The sequence below is a fragment of the Homo sapiens genome, chromosome 2 (assembly GCF_000001405.40).
Source record: "Homo sapiens chromosome 2, GRCh38.p14 Primary Assembly".
Taxonomy (NCBI): Eukaryota; Metazoa; Chordata; class Mammalia; order Primates; family Hominidae; genus Homo; species Homo sapiens.
Genome location: NC_000002.12, coordinates 112,196,620 through 112,219,988, shown reverse-complemented (window position 1 = coordinate 112,219,988; position 23,369 = coordinate 112,196,620). Strand labels below are relative to the sequence as shown.

Sequence of the window (23,369 nt, the reverse complement as noted above, 5' to 3'; positions counted from 1 at the left end):
AAACATAAAAAGACAGGAGTTGTCTATTCTAATTTCAGGCAAAACAGACTTTAAACCAACAAAGATTTTTAAAGACCTATGAAGTGACTTAAATAACCACACAATAATAGTGGGAGACATTAAACACTCCACTCACAGTATTAGATCGTTGAGGTAGGAAAGTAACAAAGATGTTTGGGACCTGAACTCTATACTTGACCAAATGGACCTAGTAGACATCTGCAGAACTCTCCACCCAAAAACAGAATGTACATTCTGCTCATCTGCACATAACACATACTCTAAAATTGACCATACACCCGGGCATAAAATAATCCTCAGCAAATTAAAAAAAAAAATCACCCCACTCACACTCTCATCAGACCACTGTGCAAGAAAAGTAGAAATCAATGCTAAGAAAATCGCTCAAAACTATACAATTACATGGAAGTTAACCTGGTCCTGAATGACTTCTGGGTAAATAATGTTGTAAATAGTGTTGTGAAGACTTTCCCTTATGTTTTCCTCTATGAGCTTTATAGGTTTAGCATTTACATTTATGTCTTTGATCTGTTTTGTGCTAATTTGTGTATGTTGTCTAAGACAGTGGTCCAACTTCACTGTTTTGCATGAGGAGATCCAGTTTTCCTAGCACCATTTGTTGAAAGACCGTCCTTCCTTCATTGAATGGTCTTGGTACTTTTGTCAATTATTTACCATAGACGTGAGGGTTTATTTCTACCCTCTCCACTGTGTTCCAGTGCTCTATATGTCTATCTTTTATGCTGTTAGCACACTGTTTTGATTACTATCACTTTGTATTGAACTCAGGAAGTGTGAGTCTCCCAAATTTGTTCTTTTTCAAGATTTTGGCTATTTGTTCCTTCAGATCCCATATGAATTTTAAGACAGATTTTTCTATTTCTGGAAAAAAACATCAATTTGAATTTGATAGAGATTGCATTGAATACATAGATTGCTTTGGGTAGTAATAACATCTTAACAATATTGTCTTCCAGTCCGTTAACATGAGATGTCTTTCCATTTATTTATGTGCCTTTGATTTCTTTCAGCAGTGTTTTATAGTTTCTGTTACACAAGTCTCACCTCCTTGATTAAATTAATTCCTAAGTACATTTGGCCCTTGAATAACAGAGGAGTTAGGGTTACTGACCCCTGCAGTAAAATCTGCATATATAGATGCAGTCAAAAATCTGCATATAACTTTTCACTCCTCAAAATCATAACTAATAATAGCCTACTGTTGATGGGAAGCCTTACCAAGAACATAAACAGTCGATTAACACATAAGTAGACTCTCTCTCTCTCTATGTTTCCAAATTGTAGTGAATCTCCAAAAAATTTTCCAGTGTATTTATTGAAATCTATATATAAGTGGATTCATACAGTTCAAACTTGTGTTGTTCAAGAGTCAACCGTATTCTATTCTTTTTGGGTACTGTAAATGGAATTGTTTTAATTTCCTTTTTAGACTGTTCATTGTTTGTGTGTAGAAATACACCTGATTATTGTGTGTTGAGGTTTTCTACATAGAAGATCATTGGGGGGATACTTTTTTAACATGATAAAATATGCTATACCTTAATAGGAATGCACCATACTCAATAAGGCAAACAGTAGAGGCATTTCCACTAGAAGAGTCTATGTTCCATTGAGACTGCCTGGTTTCTAAACCTTGAGTAGAGTTCCCTTCTGAAAACATCTGCCTTTGGGGTGAGGTTCATTTAAGAATGTCCTTGATGAAGCAGTAACAATTATTAATGTTATTAAACCTCATATACAGTCTTTTCAATATTATGCCTAGAGAATGGGAAGATAGATGAAGTACTTCTGCAACTGTATTCCTAAGAAAAGTACATGTGCTGTGTTATCTGAGTTGCAAGCTGAATGAGTTGTTTTTCATGACTGCTATTTTTACTTGAAAGAACAACTGAGAGCTGGGTGTGCTGGTATGAGCCTGTAATGCCAGCTGCTGTGGAGGTGGAGGCAGGAGTTTGAATTCAGGTCCAGCCTGGGTAACACAATAAGACCCTATCTCTACAAAAACAAAAACAAAAACAAAAACACAAGAAACCAGACACACATACAAACACAAACCCAAACAAAGAAACAAAACCAAGGGGCAACATTTTTTTTCAGATATAGATGTTTGACAGGAACTTTTTCAGAAATGAACAGAGTGACCCTGTCACTTTGAGGAGGACAACTGAAAATATTTGTCATCAATGATAAAATTCAAGCTTTTAAGCAAAAATTATAATTTTAGAACATCTGATCTGTCCCTGTGAGCTTGAAAGCTTTCCTGTACCTAAAGACTGTTTTGGCAAGATTCATTGGTGATATTAAAGAATGTAACTTTTTAAAAACACTCTACTATATAATGAAACATGTGGAAGATCTGCATAGATTAGTAAACTGATATTTTCTAAATAAACAATGCACAATATGACAGAATTATACATGCATAAAGCACCCATCCAACCTACAAAGACCAATGGATTTTAATGTAACAGTATAAAAAGTTCATTGATGTGGTTTCACATTTTATACTGCAACTTGAAAATGTTTCCATTTGCTTTTAATATTCATTTGCCCATCACTTTATTTTTAGCTTTTCTTTTTTTTTGAGATGGAGTCACCCAGGCTTGAATGAAGTGGCACGATCTTTGCTCACTGCAACCTCTCTGCCTTCTGGGTTCAAGTGATTCTCATGTCTCAGCCTCCTGAATAGCTGGGATTACAGGCATGTGCCACCATGTCTGGCTAATTTTTTTCTATTTTTGGTAGAAGTGGGGTTTCACCATGTTGGCCAGGCTGGTCTCGAACTCCTGAGCTCAAGTGATCCACCCGCCTTGGTCTCCCAAAGTGCTGGGATTACAGGTGTGAGCCACCGCGCCTGGTCTGTTTTTAGCTTTTCTGAATAATTTTTAGGTTTGTTTCTTGTATGGAACATATGTAGTTGGGTTTTGCTCTGCGGGCTCAACCAAAAATCTTTTTCTTTTGATAAGTGGATTAAGACCATTCACATTTGTTGAAATTACCAAATGTTTGGTTTAGTTTCTGTCATTTTATTGTTACTGTGTTTCTTTCTCTATAATGTGTTTTCTTTGTTTTCTATTAAATTTTTCTTTCTTCATCTCATTTTTTGTTCTCTTTCTGCTTTTGTCCGATAATGTTTATCATGTTTCCATTCAAATTTATTCTTTCTTGTAATATAGTCTTCATTTGTAATATAATTTTTTTCTTGTTTGCCATGTCTGAGGTTAGTCAACTCTTGTCTCATTATTTGTATTTTTTTTTTTTTTGCTTCAGTTCTAATCTTAGTTTTTGAATTTCAATTCAGAATGTTCTTTAATTTTCCCAAAGAGGGGTGTTTAATTCTGTTTGGATTTTTGCTTGTTTTCTTCAGCTATATGTTTTTTGTTGTTGTTGTTTTGGGAGATGAGAACTGGGAGTAAGGGCGGCTCTGCTGGTAATTTTCATGAGCTGATGTGTTTTTGTTCTCTGTTTTCTTCTGTAGGTAGCAATGTACAGATAAAGAGTACTTTAACGCCCATGCGTGTTCAAGACTGTTCAAGACTGGTGATTTGGAGTAGTTTACAAGATTCCTCATTCAGAGTGCCCTCTTGTGTGACTGGGGTGATGTGCAGCTTCCATAATGGATGGGACAGAGAGCTGGGATCTAATGTACAAGTGAAGGGCTTGGTCTTCCCTGAGACATTCCAGCCATTGGAATAGGAGAGGAGCATATATGGCAGAGGTGATGGCTGGTGGGTAAATGTGATAGTAAATTGTAGAAACCTCTTCTGATTGATTGGATTTCCTTAATAAAATCGGAAGCAAGGTTAGGCTGAGTGAGGGTGAGTAAAGAGGTAGAGGAGGTTTGAGGAGAGAGAACTGCTCGGAAGACATTGGTAGATGGACCATAAAAACAGAGTTAGTTCTCTTTATGACATTAAATAGTTTTACAACATATTTTTAATGGTTCACAATTTCATTTTAGGGCTTAAAATAAATTATGGTTCTATGATTTTTTTAAACCAGTTTCCTATTGTTAGACATTTGTTTCCAGTTTCTTACTATTATAAATAAAGTGAAACAATATCTCTTACTATACCATTTCTAAATTTAGAGTTCGTAACTTTTCTGTTGTTAAAATATAAGAATATTTATCTTTCTCATTGGTTTATAAACTGTAGTCAGATTATACACTTGTGTGAGTTACAAACTTTAGGAGTGTGATGGTATCATTAACACAAGATTCAAATACTAATGTTCCAAGTACAAATAATAATGAGATTCTAAATATGCAGTTTTATATAGTAATATTGATTATTGGTTATTATTAGACAAATACCATGAAATGGAAACTCGTCATTATATTGTTTTATTGTTGGGAAAAGTAATAGTATTACCAACTTGCTGGACATACAGAGTACACCAAAGCTAGTGATACTTCTTAGCAAAGTCCTATTTGAAAATAGGAATCAAAGTTATTTTCATTGTTATCTAATCCTGCTAAAGCAAGAAAGGGAATTGCATATACTCCAAGCAAAGGTTTATCAGACAAGACGAAAGAAAGCAGGAAACAAGGGTAAATCCTAGGCCCTTAGAAGCAGGAAACTGAGGAATGGAGAGCAAGTCATCTCTCAGTGCCCTTTTGCTGTCTGCCCAGGTTGATTGGTTCGCTTCTCAGCTGTGGCTCGGGAGGTGGGCAAGGCACTTCTTATTTAAGTCTCATAACAACCTTATACAGTGGATAATGCAATTCATTGCATAGAAAGGGAATAAATAGGAATGCTTAATTTTTTAATTTTCATGAGCCTTGTCAATACTTGTAGTTAATCTTATACTACAGTCTAGCAGTTTACTTCCTAATATTACCTCATGTATAATAGTTTGATACTTATAAAGTATAGATTTTATATATAAAGTTTATATATAAGGAAAAAAATAATTGTTATATTTCTGAGGCAGTACCCATCTCACTTGTAAACTTAAAAGACACCGCAGAGATTTGAGGGACTCAGAAGTCAAATAGAGTAGGTTAAAAACCTCTTATTTTTCAAATTAATTGTTTTAAGAAACAAGCATACCTGTGTAAGTGAAATATCTTAATTTGTGTTGAATCAAGTTAGGAGACAGAGATTCTCATGAATGTGTCCTGTGTTCTCAAAGCAGCTGCTAGCCTGTGGGTCTCTCCTACCTGGGTTATGGCAGCACCTCACAGCCAATCACTGGCCTCCATTCTCCCCTTTCCTCTGTACAGTTTGCTCTGGTTCCTCAGAGCAGATTTCCGAGTATACTGCTTCAGCCACGCCCCCACTGTGCCGTTCCCTGAACCAAGAGCCATTCGTCTCAAGAGCCATTCGTCCAAAGTACTCTATCACCTAGCCATTGTAGCCATACCAAGCCGGGCTTCCTACTTCCCTCTGCTCCCCTTGGTTTCCTCCTGTGAAGTAAATCTCACTGACCCTTGATGCAGCTCCAAGCATATATAATATATATATAATAAAACCATAGTCTAAAAAATTCAAACCAGGAGAAATAAAGCCAGAAAGTTGTATGGGAAAAATCTGCACAGATTTATTTGGCCAGCATGGTTATCATGGCTCTATTGAATTTATCCTTGACCGTCTTTAAAGCCAAAGCAAACGGGATAAAGTGATCAACTACTTACCTCTCAATACCAGAAAGGAAGCAGGAGGCAAAATCTCTCAATAATTTCATAAAAACAATTCTTAGCTGGGCGCGGTGGCTCACACCTGTAATCCCAGCACTTTGGGAGGCCGAGGTGGGCGGATCATGAGGTCAGGAGATCGAGACCATCCTGGCTAACATGGTGAAACCCCATCTCTACTAAAATTACAAAAAATTAGCTGGGCGAGGTGGCGGGCACCTGTAGTCCCAGCTACTCGGGAGGCTGAGGCAAGAGAATGGTGTGAACCCCAGGGGGCGGAGCCTGCAGTGAGCTGAGATCGCACCACTGCACTCCAGCCTGGGCGACAGTGAGACTCCGTCTCAAAAAAAAAAAAAAAAAAATTCTTAAGTGGGTCTTCATTATGGAAATCACAGAATAGAATGGACAGAATTCTCATTTCTAAAATTCTGTGTGACAGGTTTCATATGGGTCTTTTTATGGTCAGTTACTAAAAGCCACATAATAGTAGAACTAAATTTTTTTTTTTTTTTTTTTTTTTTTTTTTTTTTTTTGAGACGGAGTCTCGCTCTGTCGCCCAGGCTGGAGTGCAGTGGTGCGATCTTGGCTCACTGCAAGCTCTGCCTCCCGGGTTCAAGTGATTCTCCTGCCTCAGCCTCCCAAGTAGCTGGGACTACAGGTGCATGCCACCACACCCTGCTAATTTTTTGTATTTTTAGTAGAGACTGGGTTTCACTGTATTAGCCAAGATGGTCTCGATCTCCTGACCTCGTGATCCACCCACCTCGGCCTCCCAAAGTGCTGGGATTACAGGTGTGGGCCACCGCACCCGGCCAGAACTCAATTTTTATCTGTTGGTGAGATAATATAGGTCAAGTATATAGCCTTTTGGTGTTTTAACTTGATCCAATTGTAGAACTTTAGGAATTCAGACCCCGAGATGTTAAATGACTGTCCCCTGTTTTAATAGGTTTCCTGAGTTTCAGCATAATTGTCTTAGTTCACTGACTAGTTTCTTATAAGCATAACCACTGGGGGGTTACGTGCAAGGATTTCTTCAGGCCGGGTGCAGTGGCTCACACCTTGAATCTCGGCACTTTGGGAGGCCAAGGCAGGAGGATCACTTGAGTTCAGGAGTTTGAGACCAGCCTTGGCAACATAGCAAGATCTCATCTTTACAAAAAATTTTTAAATTAGCCAGGCATGGAGGTGCATACCTGGAGTCCCAGCTACTTGAGAGTCTGAGGCAAGAGGATCACTGGAGCCCATGAATTCGAGGTTGCAGTGAGTCCTGATTGTGCCACTGCACTCCAGCCTGGGCAACAGAGCCTTGTCTCTTATAAAAAAAAAAAAAAAAAAAAAAAGCATTTCTTCTGAGTTGTGCTTGCTGAACTCAAAATACTAGGTGATTTGGTAATGCGCCTAAAGAGCATGGGGCTCCTCCTGCCAATTATAAGCAAAGACATCACATTTGGAGTTTGGCAAGATCAGAATATCTCAGGTTGAGCACCTGCTGAATGCTAGGATTGTGTCTATGCATTTTAAATCTATTTTTAATCTTTATTACAGTCTTATAATAGGGATTATGACACCAGAACAGAGACAGCTGTCTTAAGATTTCAAGGGGTGCTAGCTGAAGAAAACAGAGAGGAAAGTTGGGAAGAAGCTGGATCCTTGATAACAGCTGAGCCATGGACTTAACCAGTCTTAGATGAGCGATACCTCACCTTCAGATTTCATGTCATACCACCTGAAATAATATATTTTCATTATTGTTGAAGCCATTTTGATTTGGGTTGTCTACTATGCTACCTGCAGCCAAAGGGAAACTAATAAATGTGAACTAAGAAGCAAACCTACATTCTTCTTCCCAAAGTCCATGTTTCTCCCCCTCGCCATCCTCTTCACCAAAAACTACATTCATTGTATTCAGCTCCTGCAAAGAGCACACATTAAGAAACAGGTTTAAGGAAGTGTTAGACACTGAATGTATTCGACCCCCAAAATTCATGTGTTGAAATCCTGACTCCTAGGACTAACTGTTAGGAGGTAGGGCCTTTGGGAGATGATTGGGTTTTGAGGGTGGAGCCCCTCATGAATGGGATTAGTGCCCTTATAAAAGAGGCCCTGGGGAGCTGTCTCCCTTTTCCACCATGTGAGGACACGGCAAGAAAATGGCTGTCTACAAAGCAGGAAGCAGGCCCTCACCACACACTAATATACCAGCACCTTGACCTTGACCTCCCCCCATCTCCAGAACTGTGAGGAGTAAGTGTTGTTTAAGCCACCTAGTCTGTGGTATTTTTGTTATAATAGCCCAAATGGACTAAGAAATGAAGAGAAATTAAGATGGGGAGGGCTATTTTCATAATAAGGAGCAGAAAACTAGGAAGAGTAGATATATTTAGAAGGGTTAAGAGGAGAGGGGAGAATGTATATGTTTGGATAGGGAGGGACAAGATGCCCAACTCATCTTAAAAGTGCTGTTGATTCCTGTGAAATTTGTAACACTCATTTACATTATTTAAAAATAAACTAAATTCGAACTTGTCTTGGAGGCATGAAAGAAAAAAAAAGACATGTTTTTAGTTATTGTATGTTACTCTGAGCTACACATTATTTAACATCTCTGAAACTGGAATATATTTTACAATTGATAGACTCATTTTAATTAGCAGGTTATTGTTTTCTTAGCAGTACATAAGAAATGGTGAATCTTATTGATTCAGTGGCATTTAGATTCTATTAAATATAATTTTTAACTGAAGTTGTACATAGTTAAATAAAAGTTTACTATGAAATAAAGTTTGTTATGGAGTTTATTATGGATGAGTGAATTATAAAAGCATAATGAAGATTTTTTCAATGAAAAAGAGTGGTTCTTTGCCCCCTCTCCTTTCTGTAGGCAGAGTTCTAAGATGGCTCCCAAGATTCCTCTTCCCTAGTGTATACGACCTACATAATTCCTCCTCTTGGATGTGGGCATTATTATGAATATCATGGATTTCACTCCCATGATTAATTTTTATTATATGGCAAATATGAAGATTTGACATTTGATGCAATTAAGGTCTCAAATCAGTTGATTTTGACTCTAAAAAAATGTGGGGCAGATTATCATGGGTAGACCTCAATGAATCAGGTGAGCCCTTTAAAGAGACTGGGCCCTTTCTGAAGTCAAAGATAGGAAGCATCAGAGAGATTCTGCTATTAGCCTTGAAGAAGTAAACTGCCATGCATCTAGGACTTGTGGACAGCCACTAGTAGCTGAGGGCAACCCCCAGATGACAAGAAGTGGAGATTTCAGTCTTATAACCACAGCCACTTTATCAGCAACCTGAATGAGTTTGGAAGAGGTGCTCCAGGCTTATTTTGTATCTTCCCACCGTAGCCCTCAGATCAGCCATTTCTCCAAGCAGCCCAGATTCCTTTTAGTTAAGAATAGCATTTACAAACCAATACTGGTTGCTAGATGTGTTCATTACTACTGAATGTCACTGCATCTAGTGCCTTCTTAAGACACAACTAGGGAATATGTGTCTTGTGTGTATGTATAAATGTACACACATTTACATCTATATTTCAACATGTATTGGAAACCATGATTTCACACCAGCATCTTGAATTCCAGTCCAATTTTCTACCTTTCCTTTTTTTTTTTTTTTTTTTTTTTTGAGACAGAGTCTCACTCTGTCACGCAGGCTGGAGTGCAGTGGCACAATCTCAGCTCACTGCAACCTCTTCCTCCTGGGTTCAAGCAGTTCTCCTGCCTCAGTCTCCTGAGTAGCTGGGATTATAGGCATGTGCCACTATGCCTGGCTAATTTTTGTATTTTTAGTAGAGACAGGGTTTCACCATCTTGGCCAAGCTGGTCTCGAACTCCTGAGCTCAGGTGATCCATCTGTCTTGGCCTCCCAAAGTGCTGGGGTTACAGGCGTGAGGCACCGTGCCCGGCCTATTACCTTTCCTTATTTTTAACAACCTTCTTCAACAGCGAGAATTCTGGATCCCAATATCTTTAATATACATATTAATTTAATTGATTACGATCTCCATCGCCACTGCAGCTACCTACTGCTACCCCATCTCTGAGTGAAGGATAAGACTCTGATACTCTTCTGGGCTTCAGGTATACCGAGCCATGCCCCTGCCACCACATTCTCCACCTCATGTAAAGACACTGCCCTCACTCTGCTTGGGCTCCAACACCTCATGTCAGATTGCCATCACCAATCTGGATTCCTCCCCATCCCTTTCAGAATTCAGTGCCCTGTATCTTGCACAAATTCCCTCCTCACCCTCCCCAGGCTCAGACACCCCGTGCTGGGCTGCCAGCATCACCACTCCCCACACAAACATCTCTCATTCCACTTGGTGCTCCGGCTCCACTTGGTATAGATTCCACCTTTAATCCTACTTCACCCTCATCCTCCAACACCCCAGGCCAGGCTGACCTGTGCAGATGTCAATTTCACCCTCTTTTGGCTCTGACACCCTTTTTTGGGCCACTCTTCTAAGCAGATGGCCTCCTCACTCTGCTTGGGCTCTCACACTATGTCAGGTGGCCATCCTGTGAAGACATGCATCTTCCCTATATAGGGTTCCTACATCCTGGGTCAGATTTCCATCTTCCTTTTGTGACTTCAATTTTTGTCTGACTCCATTTTCCTCACCCTGCTCAGGCTCTGGTGATAGCCCATGCTTGGTTACCCTCTCATGTTGACATTCTCAATGTAGTCATGTTCTGACACACTGTGTCTCTGTCTCCCCTTTCTCACTCTGGAGATGCCATGCTTTGTGGGCCCATTAAATTATTTCTTCACTCCCTAAGTTTATGGTATATTTCTTTATTACTTCTAATTGTCAAAGTAAGCCTATGAGGTAGATGATGTCATTGCCATTTCACACCAGAAAGCTAAAATGGTTGAGTTTTTCCCAGGGTAATTCAGCAAATGATTGAGCTGGAATTTGAACCCAAGTCTGTCAAACTCAGAAGTTCTGAAGCACTCTTCGTACTAAAACACCTCCAGAGAAGCAGCCGGAGGTGCAGATAAAGGGGGAAAGGTAGCCTGTTTCAGCAGAAAAAGCACCATGTTTTCATTATTGTCTTGTGTTTGCATCCCATTTTCTTCATTTTTAAGCTGTGTGACATTTGGCAGTTAATCTTTCTGAAACTTAGTTTCTTTATCCGGAAAATGGAGCCAAAAATAAAATCTGTCATGCCTACATTATGATTTTGATTTGAGATTCCAATGAGGTAATGGATGTAAATACACTGAAAAATTTAAGGGACAATACAATGGAAGTTGTCTAATATGCATTTTTAAGGGAACCAAAAGGGATCTTGGGGAGGGGGTGGATTGTCCAAATCAAATGCCACATCATCATCACCTTTTTCTGAAATCAGCCATTCATTCAAGATAGGTCCAGAGGGTTAATTTGGGTCATTTGGACTAGAAATATATTTATGTTATTACAAATGAACTGATCCCCAAATGTCAGAGGAACTTGAAGTTGTCACTTTTAAGTTATGATTTGTTTCAAGAAGTTTTGCCTGGAAATATAAATTTTGGAGTTATCAGCATGTAGATAATATTAAAAACTATCAGACTGTATAAGATTATCTGGAAAGTTAGTGGAGATAAAAAGAGAGAGAGTAGTAATCCAGTACTGAACCATAGGGTACTCCATAATTAAGAGTCTGAGGAAATAAGGAAGACTCAGCAAAGAATACCAAACAGAAATGGCCAGTAAAACAAGAAGGAAGAAGTGGATGGATCAAACAGAATACCAACAATAAAACATAGACCTAAATCCAGACATAATAACTCAATTACATGTAAATGTCTAAACTTCAAAAGCCAAATCCAGTCCCCAGTCCACTATGTGTGGTTTGTTTGTTTTTTTGTTTTGTTTTGTTTTGTGTTTTGAGATGGAGTCTCACTCTGTCACCCAGGCTGGAGTACAATGGTGTGATCTCGACACACTGCAACCTCCGCCTCCAGGATTCAAGCGATTCTCCTGCCTTTGCCTCCCGAGTAGCTGGGATTACAGGCACCTGCCACCATGCCCAGTTAATTTTTGTATTTTTAGTAGAGACAGGGGTTTCACCATGTCGGCCAGGCTGGTCTTGAACTCCTGACCTTAGGGGATCCTCCTGCCTCAGCCTCCCAAAGTGCTGGGATTACTGGTGTGAGCCACCACCTCCAGCCCAGTCCACTATGTGTTTTTGTAAATAAAGTTTTATTGGAACACAACTATGCCCATTTGTTTACATGTTGTCTATGGCTGCTTTCCCAATACAACAGACTTTAGTAATTGCTACACAGGATGTATGGCTTGCAAAGCCCAAAATATTTACTTTCTGCCTTTACAGAAAAAGATTGTCAGAACGGATTTTTTAAAAATGACCCAACTATATGCTGTCTACAATAAAGTCACTTTGGTGAAAAGTAAAAGGATGGGAAAAAATGCAACATGCAAACATTAAACAAAAGAAAGATGGAGAGGCTATATTAATAATAAAATAGACTTCAGAGCAAAGATAACTTCAAAAGATAGAGTCACTGCATAATAACAAAAGGGGTGACTTGTTATGACATTACAATCCAAAACGTGTATACATTCTAAAAACAGTGAATCAGAATATGAAGCAAACACTGGCAGAACTGAGACAAGAAATAGACAAATTTACAATTATATTTGGTAACTTCAACACTCCTTTCTTAGTAATCCATACAACTAATAGACGGAACAAATATATAGAAGAACTGAGCAACACTATCAGTTAACTTGGTCTAATTGAAATTTATTGAATATACCTCAAACAAGAGTAGAATACACATTCTTTTTTTTTTTTTTTTTTGAGATGGAGTCTCTCTGTCGCCCCAGCTAGAGTGCAGTGGTGCAATCTCTGCTCAATACAACCTCTGCCTCCTGGGTTCAAGCAATTCTCCCGCTTCAGCCTCCCAACTAGCTGGCATTACAGGTGCCTGCCACCACACCCGGCTAATTTTTGTATTTTTAGTAGAGACAGGGTTTTGCCATGTTGGCCAGGCTGGTCTTGAACTCCTGACCTCAGGTGATCCGCCTGCCTCTGCCTCCCAAAGTACTGGGATTACAGGCATGAGCCACCTTGCCTGGCCAAATACACGTTCTTTTCAAGTGCTCATGGAGCATTGACTAAGATAAACCATATCTTGGGTCATAAAATAAAACTTAACAAATTTAAAAGTATTGAAATAATTCAAAGTCTATTCTCTGTACATAATGGAAGTAGATTAAAAATCAGTAAGAAAGCTGAACACAGTGGCTCACACCTGTAATCCCAGGACCTTGGGAGGCCAAGGCAAAAGGATCACTTAAGCCCAGGAGTTTGAGACCAGCCTGGAAAACAGAGTGAGACCCCATCTTTACAATTCTTTTTTTAATCTGCCAGGCATGGTTCTGTGCACCTGTGGTTCCAGCTACTTGGGAGGCTGGAGTGGGAGGATCACTTGAGCCTGAGAGGTTGAGGCTGAAGTGAGTCGTGATTGTGCCACTGCACTCCAGTCTAGGAAACAGGGTGAGATCTTGTCTCAAAAAAAAAAAAAAAAACAGTCAATAAGAAAGATAATAGAAGCCCAGGCACAGTGGCTCACACCTGTAATCTCAGCACTTTGGGAGGCCAAGGGCAGGTGGATTGCTTGAGCCCAGGAGTTTGAGACCAGCCTGGCCAACATGGCAAAACCCGGTCTCTATAAAAATTAGCTGTGGTGGTGTACATCTGTAGTTCCAGCTACTTGGGAGGCTGAGGCACAAGAATTGCTTGAACCCAGGAATCTCAAGTCAATAATCTAAAATGGAGTAGAGCTAGAAAAAGTATAGCCAAATAAATCCAAAGCAAAATGAATGAAGGAAATGAAGACAACTGTAGAGATCAATGAAACTGTAAACAGAAAAATAATAGGGAACATCAGTGAAACCAAAGCTTTGTAGGTCAAAATCAATGAAAAAAAGTCAGTTAAACCAAGTTCTTTGTAAAGGTCAGTAAAACTGATAAACTTTTAGGCAAACTGATAAGGAGCAAAAGAGAGATGACAAAAAATACCAGTGTCAGGAATGAAAATGGGAACAGTACCAGAAATCCTGCAAGAAATGAAAGGTATAAGAGAATACTACAAACAGCTACATGCACACAAATTTGAGATTATAGATGAAATACACCAACTCCTCTAAAATCACAAATGACTAAACCCATATAAGAGGAAGTAGATAACCTGAATTAGTCCTTGTAACTATTGAAGACGTTGAAGTCATAGTTTAAATTTCATACATAAGAAATCTCCAGGTTCAGATATTTTCACTGGCAAATTCTACCAAAATTTATAAAAGAAACACCACCAATTCTACACTGTCTCAACATTAGGAAGATGTCAATTCTCTCCAAATTAATTTAGATTTAATATAACTCCCATAAAAATCCCCAAATAATTTTTTGTACGTATAGACAAGCTCATTCTAAAATTTATATGGAAAGGCAAAGGAACTAGAATAGTCCAAACATTTTTTTTAAAAGAATAAAATTTGAAGACTCATGCTAGCTGGATTTTAAAAATTACTATAAGCTACAGTAATGAAGATAGTGTGATACTGGTGAAGTGACAGACAAACATATCAACTTAATGGATTAGAGATTCCAGAACTAGGTCCACACAAATATGAGCAACTGATTTAATTGGTGTATTTAGACTGTTATTTACATTTAATGTAATTATTGATATGTCAAGACTTAAATTTGCCATTTTATTATTTGTTTTGTTATCTTTGTTGTTCTTTTTTTCTTTTCCTGCTTTCCTGTGGGTTACTTGAACATTTTTTAGAATTCCATTTTTATTTCTCTATAGTATTTTGGAGTGTATCTCTTTGTATAGTTTTTTTAGTAGTTACTCCATACATATATAAAATGTATGCATATATAACAGTCCAAATACACTTAATATAATTGCTGGTAAGCTAGAATTTTATGTTTGACATTTTGTTATTGGCTTTCTGAGTGTCATGTCCTTTTTGTTTCTCTATTCCTCTATGAATGGCTTCTTTTGTGTTAAATACATATTTTCTAGTCTATTATTTTAATTCCTTTGATATTTATTTTACTATAGCCATTTGAGTTATTTTGTTAATGATTGCCCCAGGGATTATAATTAACAATGTAAAACAATCTAGTTCAGATTGACACCAATTTAATTTCTATAGTAGACAGTGAAAACCTGTTCCAATATGGCTTTTTTCCCTTTTCCCTCTTTTGTACTATTTTATTTATACCAATTAAATTTGTATACATTATAAACTCATCAACACAGTTGTATAATTGTTGCTTTATGCAGTTGTCATTTAAATAAGGTAAAATTTAACAGTGTCATAAACAAAAAATATATTTATATTGTCTTTTATATTTACTTACATAATTTCCTTTATTGGTGTTATTTCTTTGTGTGAATACAAGTTACTCTCGAGTGTTCTTTTGTATCAGCCTAAAGGACTCCCTTTAATATTTCTTATGTGGTATGTGTGCTAACAATACATTTTCTCCATTTTTCTGTATTTGAGAATGCCTAAGTTTCTGTTTTCTTGAAGAAGAGTTTGGCTGATATCGAATTCTTGGTCAACAGCTTTTTTTCTTTGATCTCTTTGAATATGTCCTCCCACTGTCTTCTGGCTTCCATAGTTTCTGATGAGAAGTGACCTGTTACTCTTATTGAAGCTCCCTTATACTTGAAGTCTTTTCTCTTACTAGTTTAAAAATTCTTTTTGACTTTCAACAGTTTGACCATGATGGGTCTAAGTGTGGATCTTTTTGTCTTTATCCTGCTTGGAATTCTTTTAGCTTCTCGGATGTGCATATTAGTGTTTTTCATCAGATTTGGGGAGTTTCCTGCCTTATTTATTCAAATACCCTTTCTTTCTTTTCTTACTATCTTCTCCTTCTGAGATGCTTATTATACATATATTGATATGCTTGATGGTGACCTCACAAATATCTAAGGCTCAGATAGTTTTTCTTTTTTTTTTTTTGTTCCTCAAGCTGGATAATATCAATGACCTATGTTTAAATTCACCGATTCTTTCTTCTGCCTGCTCAAATTGTCTCTTGGCCTTCTTGTGAATTTGTTATTTCAGCCTTATACTTTTCAACTTAATATTTCTATTTGTTTTTTTAAAAAGTTTCTATCTCTTTATTGATATTCTCTATTTGATGAGACAACCTCCTTTAGACATGGTTTTCTTTACTTTTTTTGAAAATATTTATAATAGCTGATTTAAAGTCTTTCTCTAGTAAGCTGATATGGTTTGGCTGTGTCCTCACCCAAATCTCATCTTAAATTGTACTCCCACAATTCCCACATTTTGTGGGAGGGAGCTGGTGGGAGATAATTTGAATCATGGGGGCAGTTTCCCCCATACTGTTCTCGTGGTAGTGAATAAGTCTCATGAGATCTGATGGTTTTATCAGGGGTTTTTGCTTTTGCATCTTCCTCATTTTCTCTTGCCACTGCCATGTAAGAAGTGCCTTTTGCCTCCTGCCATGATTCTGAGGCCTCCCCAGCCATGTGGAACTGTAAGTCCAATTAAACATCTTTTTCTTCCCAGTCTCAGGTATGTCCTTATCAGCAGCATGAAAACGGACTAATACATAAGTTCTGAGCTTCCTTAGGGATAGTGTGTATTGACTGTTTATGCATGGGAGCATACTTCTTTGGGCCCCCTTTTTTTGGTAAGTTCATAATATTTTATTGAAAATTGGACATTTTAAACAATATAATTTGTCAACTTTGTAAATCATACTACTCCATCCAGGGTTTGCTTGTTTCTGCTTATTGTCATTGCTGTTTGTTTAGTGTTTTTCCTGGACTAAGTGTGTAAAGTTTGTATTTTTTTATTCTGTATGGCTATTGAAGTCAGCGCTTAGTTAGCTTAATAGACAGCCCTTGATTGGGCAGAGATTTTCTCAAATACCTTGAACATATGAGTCTTCCAGTCTTCATAGAGGAACTCTGTGTGTGAGTTGGGACATACCTTCAATATTCTGGCTGAGAATTTACAACTCTGCCTTAGGCTTTACTTCCTGCATGAGAAGTACCTCAAGCTGGCCTGAGATAAGAACTTAGGACCCTTTCAGGTCTTTCTTGGGCATGTTCTCATCCCTGCACATGCATGGTTTTCTAGATTCCCAGGGATGTGTCAGAGCTTTTCAAAGCCCCCTGTAGATATTTCATTTCCCAGTTTTTTTGTTTTTTTGTTTGTTTGTTTTTGTTTTTTGCTCAGCCTCTTGTTGGCTCTGGAGGTAACAACACCTCCAGTTGCAATATTAAACAATTGCTACTGATTGTTTTTGACAAATGGTAAGGCTGTTCACACAGAGTGAGCTCTTGAGTCTAAGCCCTGAGAAGGTAGCTTTTCAGTAAGCTGTGAGATCAAATAGTGAATTTTAGTGGGGGGTGGAGTTTTTGAGAAGCTCCCAACTTGTTCTACTCACTCCAGTGACTAGTAGGTACTAGTTTTCATAGCTGTTAAGGTTGCAGGGCTTTCAGTCTTCAAGGCTCATACTGTGGAGCTGGGGAGAGGAGAATGACATTAGAGAAGTTAAAATGCCACAGGCATTTCACCAAGATTCAGCTGTTTTGCTTGAATAAATTCTCTTCAAATTGTTGCTAGCCTTCAGTTAATTTCCAGATTCTGAAAAAGTTGATTTTTGACTGTTTTGGCAGTGTTTTTATGTCTTTCATAGAGGAGTGGATTTTTGAAGATTTTTACTCTGCTGTTCCAGAGGTAGAAACCTTAACTCACTTTTAAGTGTGGTTTGACATCACAATACCTTTTAAAAAAACCCTGCACTTAAAAATATATATATTTCTAAATATATTTCATATCTATATATGTAATATATAAATAGAAGTGTATATATAAATAGAACTATATACGTATTTATGACTGGTATGAAAATTGAACATGTCGTCTTCTAGTACTTTTATTTCAAAATCACCTTTCCTTGCCTGGCATGTCCAGAGACTCATCTTCCTGGGGAACGCAATTGCACTCAGAGGAATGAGACAGTAAACAATTAACAGATAAAGTGCACATGACTGTTAGCAGGAAGCTCCTAGTTCATAAGAATTTGGGACCTTTACTCCATGCTCCAAATTTTTAAACTACCTTTTTAAGAGATTCCACAGAAGTAGTCTTATTTACCATTCCCATAAGTCTTAAATATATACAAGCTTTGTATCCCAGCTGTATCCTACATAAAAATACTCCAAATTTATTTGCCTGGATGTGTTGCTTGGCAGGTATATTTGTTACATAATAATATAAACTAGACTTTAATCTTGGACTTCCTGAATGAATTTGTGATTCAGCCTCATATCTGCTGACACACCAGCTCTTTTCAGCCTTCCATATGCCCACAGACTGTAAGCCAATTTAAACTTCCTCATGTAGCTGAACTCAGTTAGGTAAACCTGGAATCAACAGAAATGCTCCTTATTTCAGCCAAATGCACATAAAACAGTCATTTCAGTCCATGAAGGAGGAAAGCCTGGTTGCTGTGAATTCCTTATTATCTCAGAGACTGAATGCCTGTCCTTGTGTAGCTGTGAAGGATTCTATGTTCTCCCTAAGTTGGGGAGATGATGTGAGTGGCCCCTCAGGAAACAGAAACCTGCCCAACCTCCCCTGGCTCCTGCCACTCTGGACTGCCTGCAGTTCTGGAGGGCTGTGTTCTTTGGGATGTGTCCTACACCTACATCTGAACCAGGGGAGGAAAAAAAAAGAAGGGAAAAATGCCCTTGACTTTTCAAATAAGATGTGCAGGCCTTCTGCCAAGGAGCTGGAACGGCAAGGCAGGGAACAGGGTACCCTGGAACAAATGCGAGACCTGAGAGATCTTCACCTGGGAAGACACTGCTGGGGCCCACGGCCTTTGTTCTGTTAAATCTTGGCAAGGACCTGTGACAAGGCTGTGGTGTGGGAGCTGCACGATGGTCCGTGAAACAGGCCTTCCGGGCCCACCCATGAATGAGCAAGTGTCTGTTGTTCAGAACTCTCCAGGTCAAATCACAGGATTTGTAAAGAGATTCAGGACAGCAGTCACTGGGCCCTGCCTCCTGCCTCAGAGGCCTCACTCACATTTCCTCTGTTGTCAGAGGCAGCCTTAGTGAACCAGGCAAGGGTACATCTCGCTTTCCACCCTCCTTTGATCTCAGCAACCCTCACACTCCTTGTCTCAAATTGTCCTCCCTGACATTCTGGAAGCTGTGGAAGGGCATTTAGTGTACCTGCCCCATCCAAAGCTGTATTCTCTGCAAGGATCAAGCACATAAAAGGCACTTGCTCAATATTCATCATTGACATTTAAACATTTAAATGGGTGCTGCTTTTTTCCATCCAACAATATGAAAAATGGTGACCTTTAAGTGAAAGAGAATAAATAGGATTTTAAAAAACATTTAGGCTGGGTGTGGTGGCTCACACCTGTAACGCCTGTAATCCCAGTACTTTGGGAGGCTGAAGCAGGTGGATCACCTGAGCTCAGGAGTTCGAGACCAGCCTGGCCAACATGACGAAACCCCACCTCTACTAAAAATGCAAAAATTAGCCGGGTGGTGGTGCACCTGTAATCCCAGCCACTTGTGAGGCTGAGGCAGGAGAATAGCTTGAATCTGGGAGGCAGAGGTGGCAGTGAGCCGAGATTGTGCGACTGCACTCCAGACTGGGGGACAGAGCGAGACTATGTCTAAAAACAAAATAAAACAAAAAACAAACAAAAAAAACCATTTACGCCTTATCCATGAAACAACATAGATGGAGGTGATGTGTCCTTCTGCTCAGGTAATTCGAGAATTCCCCAGACAAAGGCAGAAATGAAGGAGAATGGCCAAGTATGTAGCTAGTGATTCCCTATGCATAAGCCAGCTGCATACATGCCACCCCTTATGTGACATTCCCACGAACATCTGAGGTGTCCCCCATGGCTCTGCACAGTTCCTCCTGGGCAAGCCATACTCCTTTGTTATTTCCAAGCTTGAGAATCTTAATTAGTACTAGCCACCAATTACCTAATACACACTTCACAGCTGATCACCACACTCCAGTGGATCAGGGATTGCAGTTGAGAGCACTGGTTGCTTGAGTTGGGAGTTGATGTCTCTCAGTCAAAGACCACCAGGAACCCACATATAGTCAACAAAGTCAGGTTTACTATTTGCTGCAGCAAAAGAGGTTGCATATGGGGGGTGTCTTTGTCTGTTTTCTGTTGCTATAACAGAATACCACAGACTGGGTAACTTATAAAGAAAATGTTTAGCTCATGGTTCTGGAGGCTGGGAAGTTCAAGAGCATGGAACTGGCATCTTGTGAGGCCTTCTTGCTGCATCATACCACGGTGAAGGGCATTACATGGTGAGAGGGCAACAGCAGGAGAGCCAGAGAGAGCTCGCTTCTATAATAAAGCCCTTCCCTCAATAACGAACCCACTCCTGTGATAGTGACATTAATCCATTTATGACCACACAGGCCTCATTAACCCATTAATCCATTCATGAGGGCAGAGCTAACACTAATTCATTCATGAGGGCAGAGGGATTAATTTTCCAACACATGAACATTTGGGGGCACATTCAAACCATAGCAGAGAGGAACTGAGGAACATCTTAACAGGAGGGAATTGGGGACAGACAGGGCATTTGAGACCAGAGAAAGTCATAGGATGATCCTGGAAGGGATGGGTGAGATTTTGTAAACTAGAGAGTTTCTGGAAGAGTCAGTACTCTTGTCTGGCTGTGTGAGTGAGTGGGTGTTAGGAGAGTTTATGCTTAGATGATTTGTGACATTCATGTTCTGAATGGGTGCCATTTATGGGTTAGCTCTAGAGCAGCAATGTTGAAAAGTTGTGGCTTGTTTCAACTCTCAGTTCTCCCTGACAGCCTTGCTGCCAATAGAGCAATTTTTCACTCCGTCACTGGAAAAGTGACGATGAGAGAAATGAGAGAAATGGACACCAGGAAATGACTCTGCCCACCGTACAACTGTCTGTCACCATGCAAAGAGGGAGAGTTGCATGCAGGGATGCTAAAGGAGAAAAGACACCCTGGGCAATTTCTCAGGGGGACCGCCTTGACCTGGGAGGCATTTCTATGGAATTCCTGTCCATTTGTCTTTTGACTCACTTTTGATCTTGATTATAATTTTTTCCCTTCTGTTTGTCCAAGAGGAAAAGGAAATGTGGGTCATGCATCCTGGTTCCTAGGGCAGAGCCTGGCTTTAATTAGCATGCAGATGGAACCCACATAGTCCTTCACTTGCTCTGTAATGTCACCTGAAGTTAATAAAAGCAGAGATTCCAATTAGTTAGCCTGACTCACTGGTAGACTATAGTGGAGGGAGGCTTCCCTGGCTTTACTGAGGGTGTATCTTAGTGCATTCAGGTTGCTATAATAAACTACCTTAGGCTGGGTGACTAATAAACAACAAAAATTTATTTCTCACAGTTCTGGAGGTTGGAAAGTCCAGGATCAAGGTTCCAGCAGGTTTGGTGTCTGGTGAGGACCTGTTTCATGACCCATAAATGGTGCCTTTTTACTGTGTCCTCACATGATGAAAGGTAGCAGACACACTCTGGGTTTCTTTCTTTCTTTCTTTCTTTCTTTCTTTTTTTTTGAGACAATCTCACTCTGTCACCCAGGCTGGAGTTAGTGCTGCAATCTCGGCTCACTGCAACCTCTGTCTCCCAGGTTCAAGCGATTCTCCTCCCTCAGCCTCCCAAGTAGTGGGATTACAGGTGTCTACCAATACACCTGGCTAATTTTTGTATTTTTAGTAGAGACGGGGGTTTCACCATGTTGGCCGGGCTGGTCTTGAACTCCTGACCTCAAGCAATCTGCCCACCTTGGCCTCCCAAAGTGCTGGGATTATAGGCATGAGCCACCGCACTCAGCCTCTGGGTTTCTTTTATAAGGACACTAATCCCATTTATGTGAGCTCCGCTTTTATAAACTAATCACCTCCCAAAAGCCCTACTTGGTAACACCATCACCTTGGAGATGAGGTTTCAATGTATTAATTTAGGTGGTTGGGGGAGACATAAACATCCAGACCACAGAAAGGGGTAAGAGCCGAATCAGCTGCTGCAGGAATATTGTTACAGAGGAGGGAGACAGCAGGCCTGGAAGAGGAGGTTTCAGGGAGGGAGTGTTTTTGATCCTGCAGATTCTGAGGAGAGAATGGCTTTGATTTTGTTTGCTGTTCTCCAGGCAAATCCAGGGTGGGGATTAAGAGTCCATAGCCCTTCCTGTTCCTGGAGTCAATGAATCTCTTTATGAAATATGCTGATTGAGCCCCTTGTTTCATCTTTTTACTGCTGAAGTGAGTAGAATCATGTCATTACTAGTTATAAAATTAGTCCATGTCTTTTTCAGAAATAGAAAAAGAAAAAAGTCCACGATGTTTGAAAATCAGCTCCCTGAATGTCCCAGTATGACTCTGCCCTCATTGCAAAATGGCTTTCCTCTCTGGCTTTAAATTTAGCTGCAGTTACACTAATAAAGTCATCATCTTGCTCCAAGATCATTAGCAAAGAAAGGGATGGCTGAGCTAGGATGTGGACTTGAAGTGAAGTGACTGGTTGGCAGTTGGTGGCTGTCTATGTTCCCTAGGATGGGGATGACCCCTTTCAGCAATAGGTGATTTACCCTCAGCTGGTGTTTGGAGGGGAGGTTGGGATACTAGGTGTGTTCATTTCCTAGGGCTGCTGGAACAAAATACCACAAACCAGGTGGCATTCTCTCACAGTTCTGGAGGCTACAAGTCTGAAATAAAGGTATATACAGGGCCACACTTCCTCCAAAGGCTGCAGGGAATGATCCTTCCTTATCTTTTCCTAGCTTTTGGTGATTGCCAGCAATCTCAGCATCCCTTTGCTGTGAAAGCATGACACCAATCTCTGCTTCTGTCTTTTCTCTCTCTCTCTGCATGTTTCTCTCTCTGTCTCTCTCTCTCTCTCTCTCTCTCTCTCTCTCTGTGTGTGTGTGTGTGTGTGTGTGTGTGTGTGTGTGTGTGTTTTCTCTTACGGATGCCAGTCATTGTATGATGATTCCATCTTAACTAATTACATCTGCAAAGACATTATTACTAAATAACATCACATTCATAGGTACCAGGTGTTAGGACATTGACTTGGTTTGGCTGTGTCCCCATCCAAATCTCATCTTGAATTGTAGCTCCCACAATTCCCATGTGTCATGGGAGGGACCTGGTGGGAGATAACTGAATCATGGGGGCAGGTCTTCCCCATGCTGTTCTTGTGATAGTGAATAAGTCTTAGGAGATCCAATGGTTTTATAAAGAGGAGTTCCCCTGCACAAGTTCCCTCTTGTCTGCTGCTATGTAAGACATGCCTTTGCTTCACCTTTGCCTTCCGCTATGATTGTGAGGCCTCCCCAGCCAGGCAGAACTGTGAGTCCATTGGACCTCTTTTTCTTTATAAATTACCCAATCTTGGGTATGTCTTTATCAGCAGCATGAAAACGGACTAATACAGACATAAACATATCTTTTTGAGAGACACAGTTCAGCCTACAACACAAAGCCTATTATGCTCCTCAGGCAAGAGGCTGGGACAGAGCTAAGGCTGGCCCTGATCAGACTCTTCCATGATGCTGGAAAGGATATTCTA

General features: G+C 39.7%; 2 protein-coding genes across 4 annotated transcripts in view; one reads left to right on the top strand and one right to left on the bottom strand.

The window, feature by feature from the left end:
- The window catches only part of ZC3H8 (zinc finger CCCH-type containing 8), a 43,514-nt gene extending 35,054 nt beyond the window's left edge, over nt 1-8,460 (top strand). For both annotated transcript variants that reach the window (XR_001738994.2, NM_032494.3), the window contains exon 9: nt 3,521-8,460. The gene's annotated coding sequence lies outside the window, so the exon portion shown is untranslated. The remainder of the gene's footprint in view (nt 1-3,520) is intronic.
- The window catches only part of FBLN7 (fibulin 7), a 106,324-nt gene that overhangs the window by 24,720 nt on the left and 58,235 nt on the right, over nt 1-23,369 (bottom strand). The window lies entirely within an intron of this gene.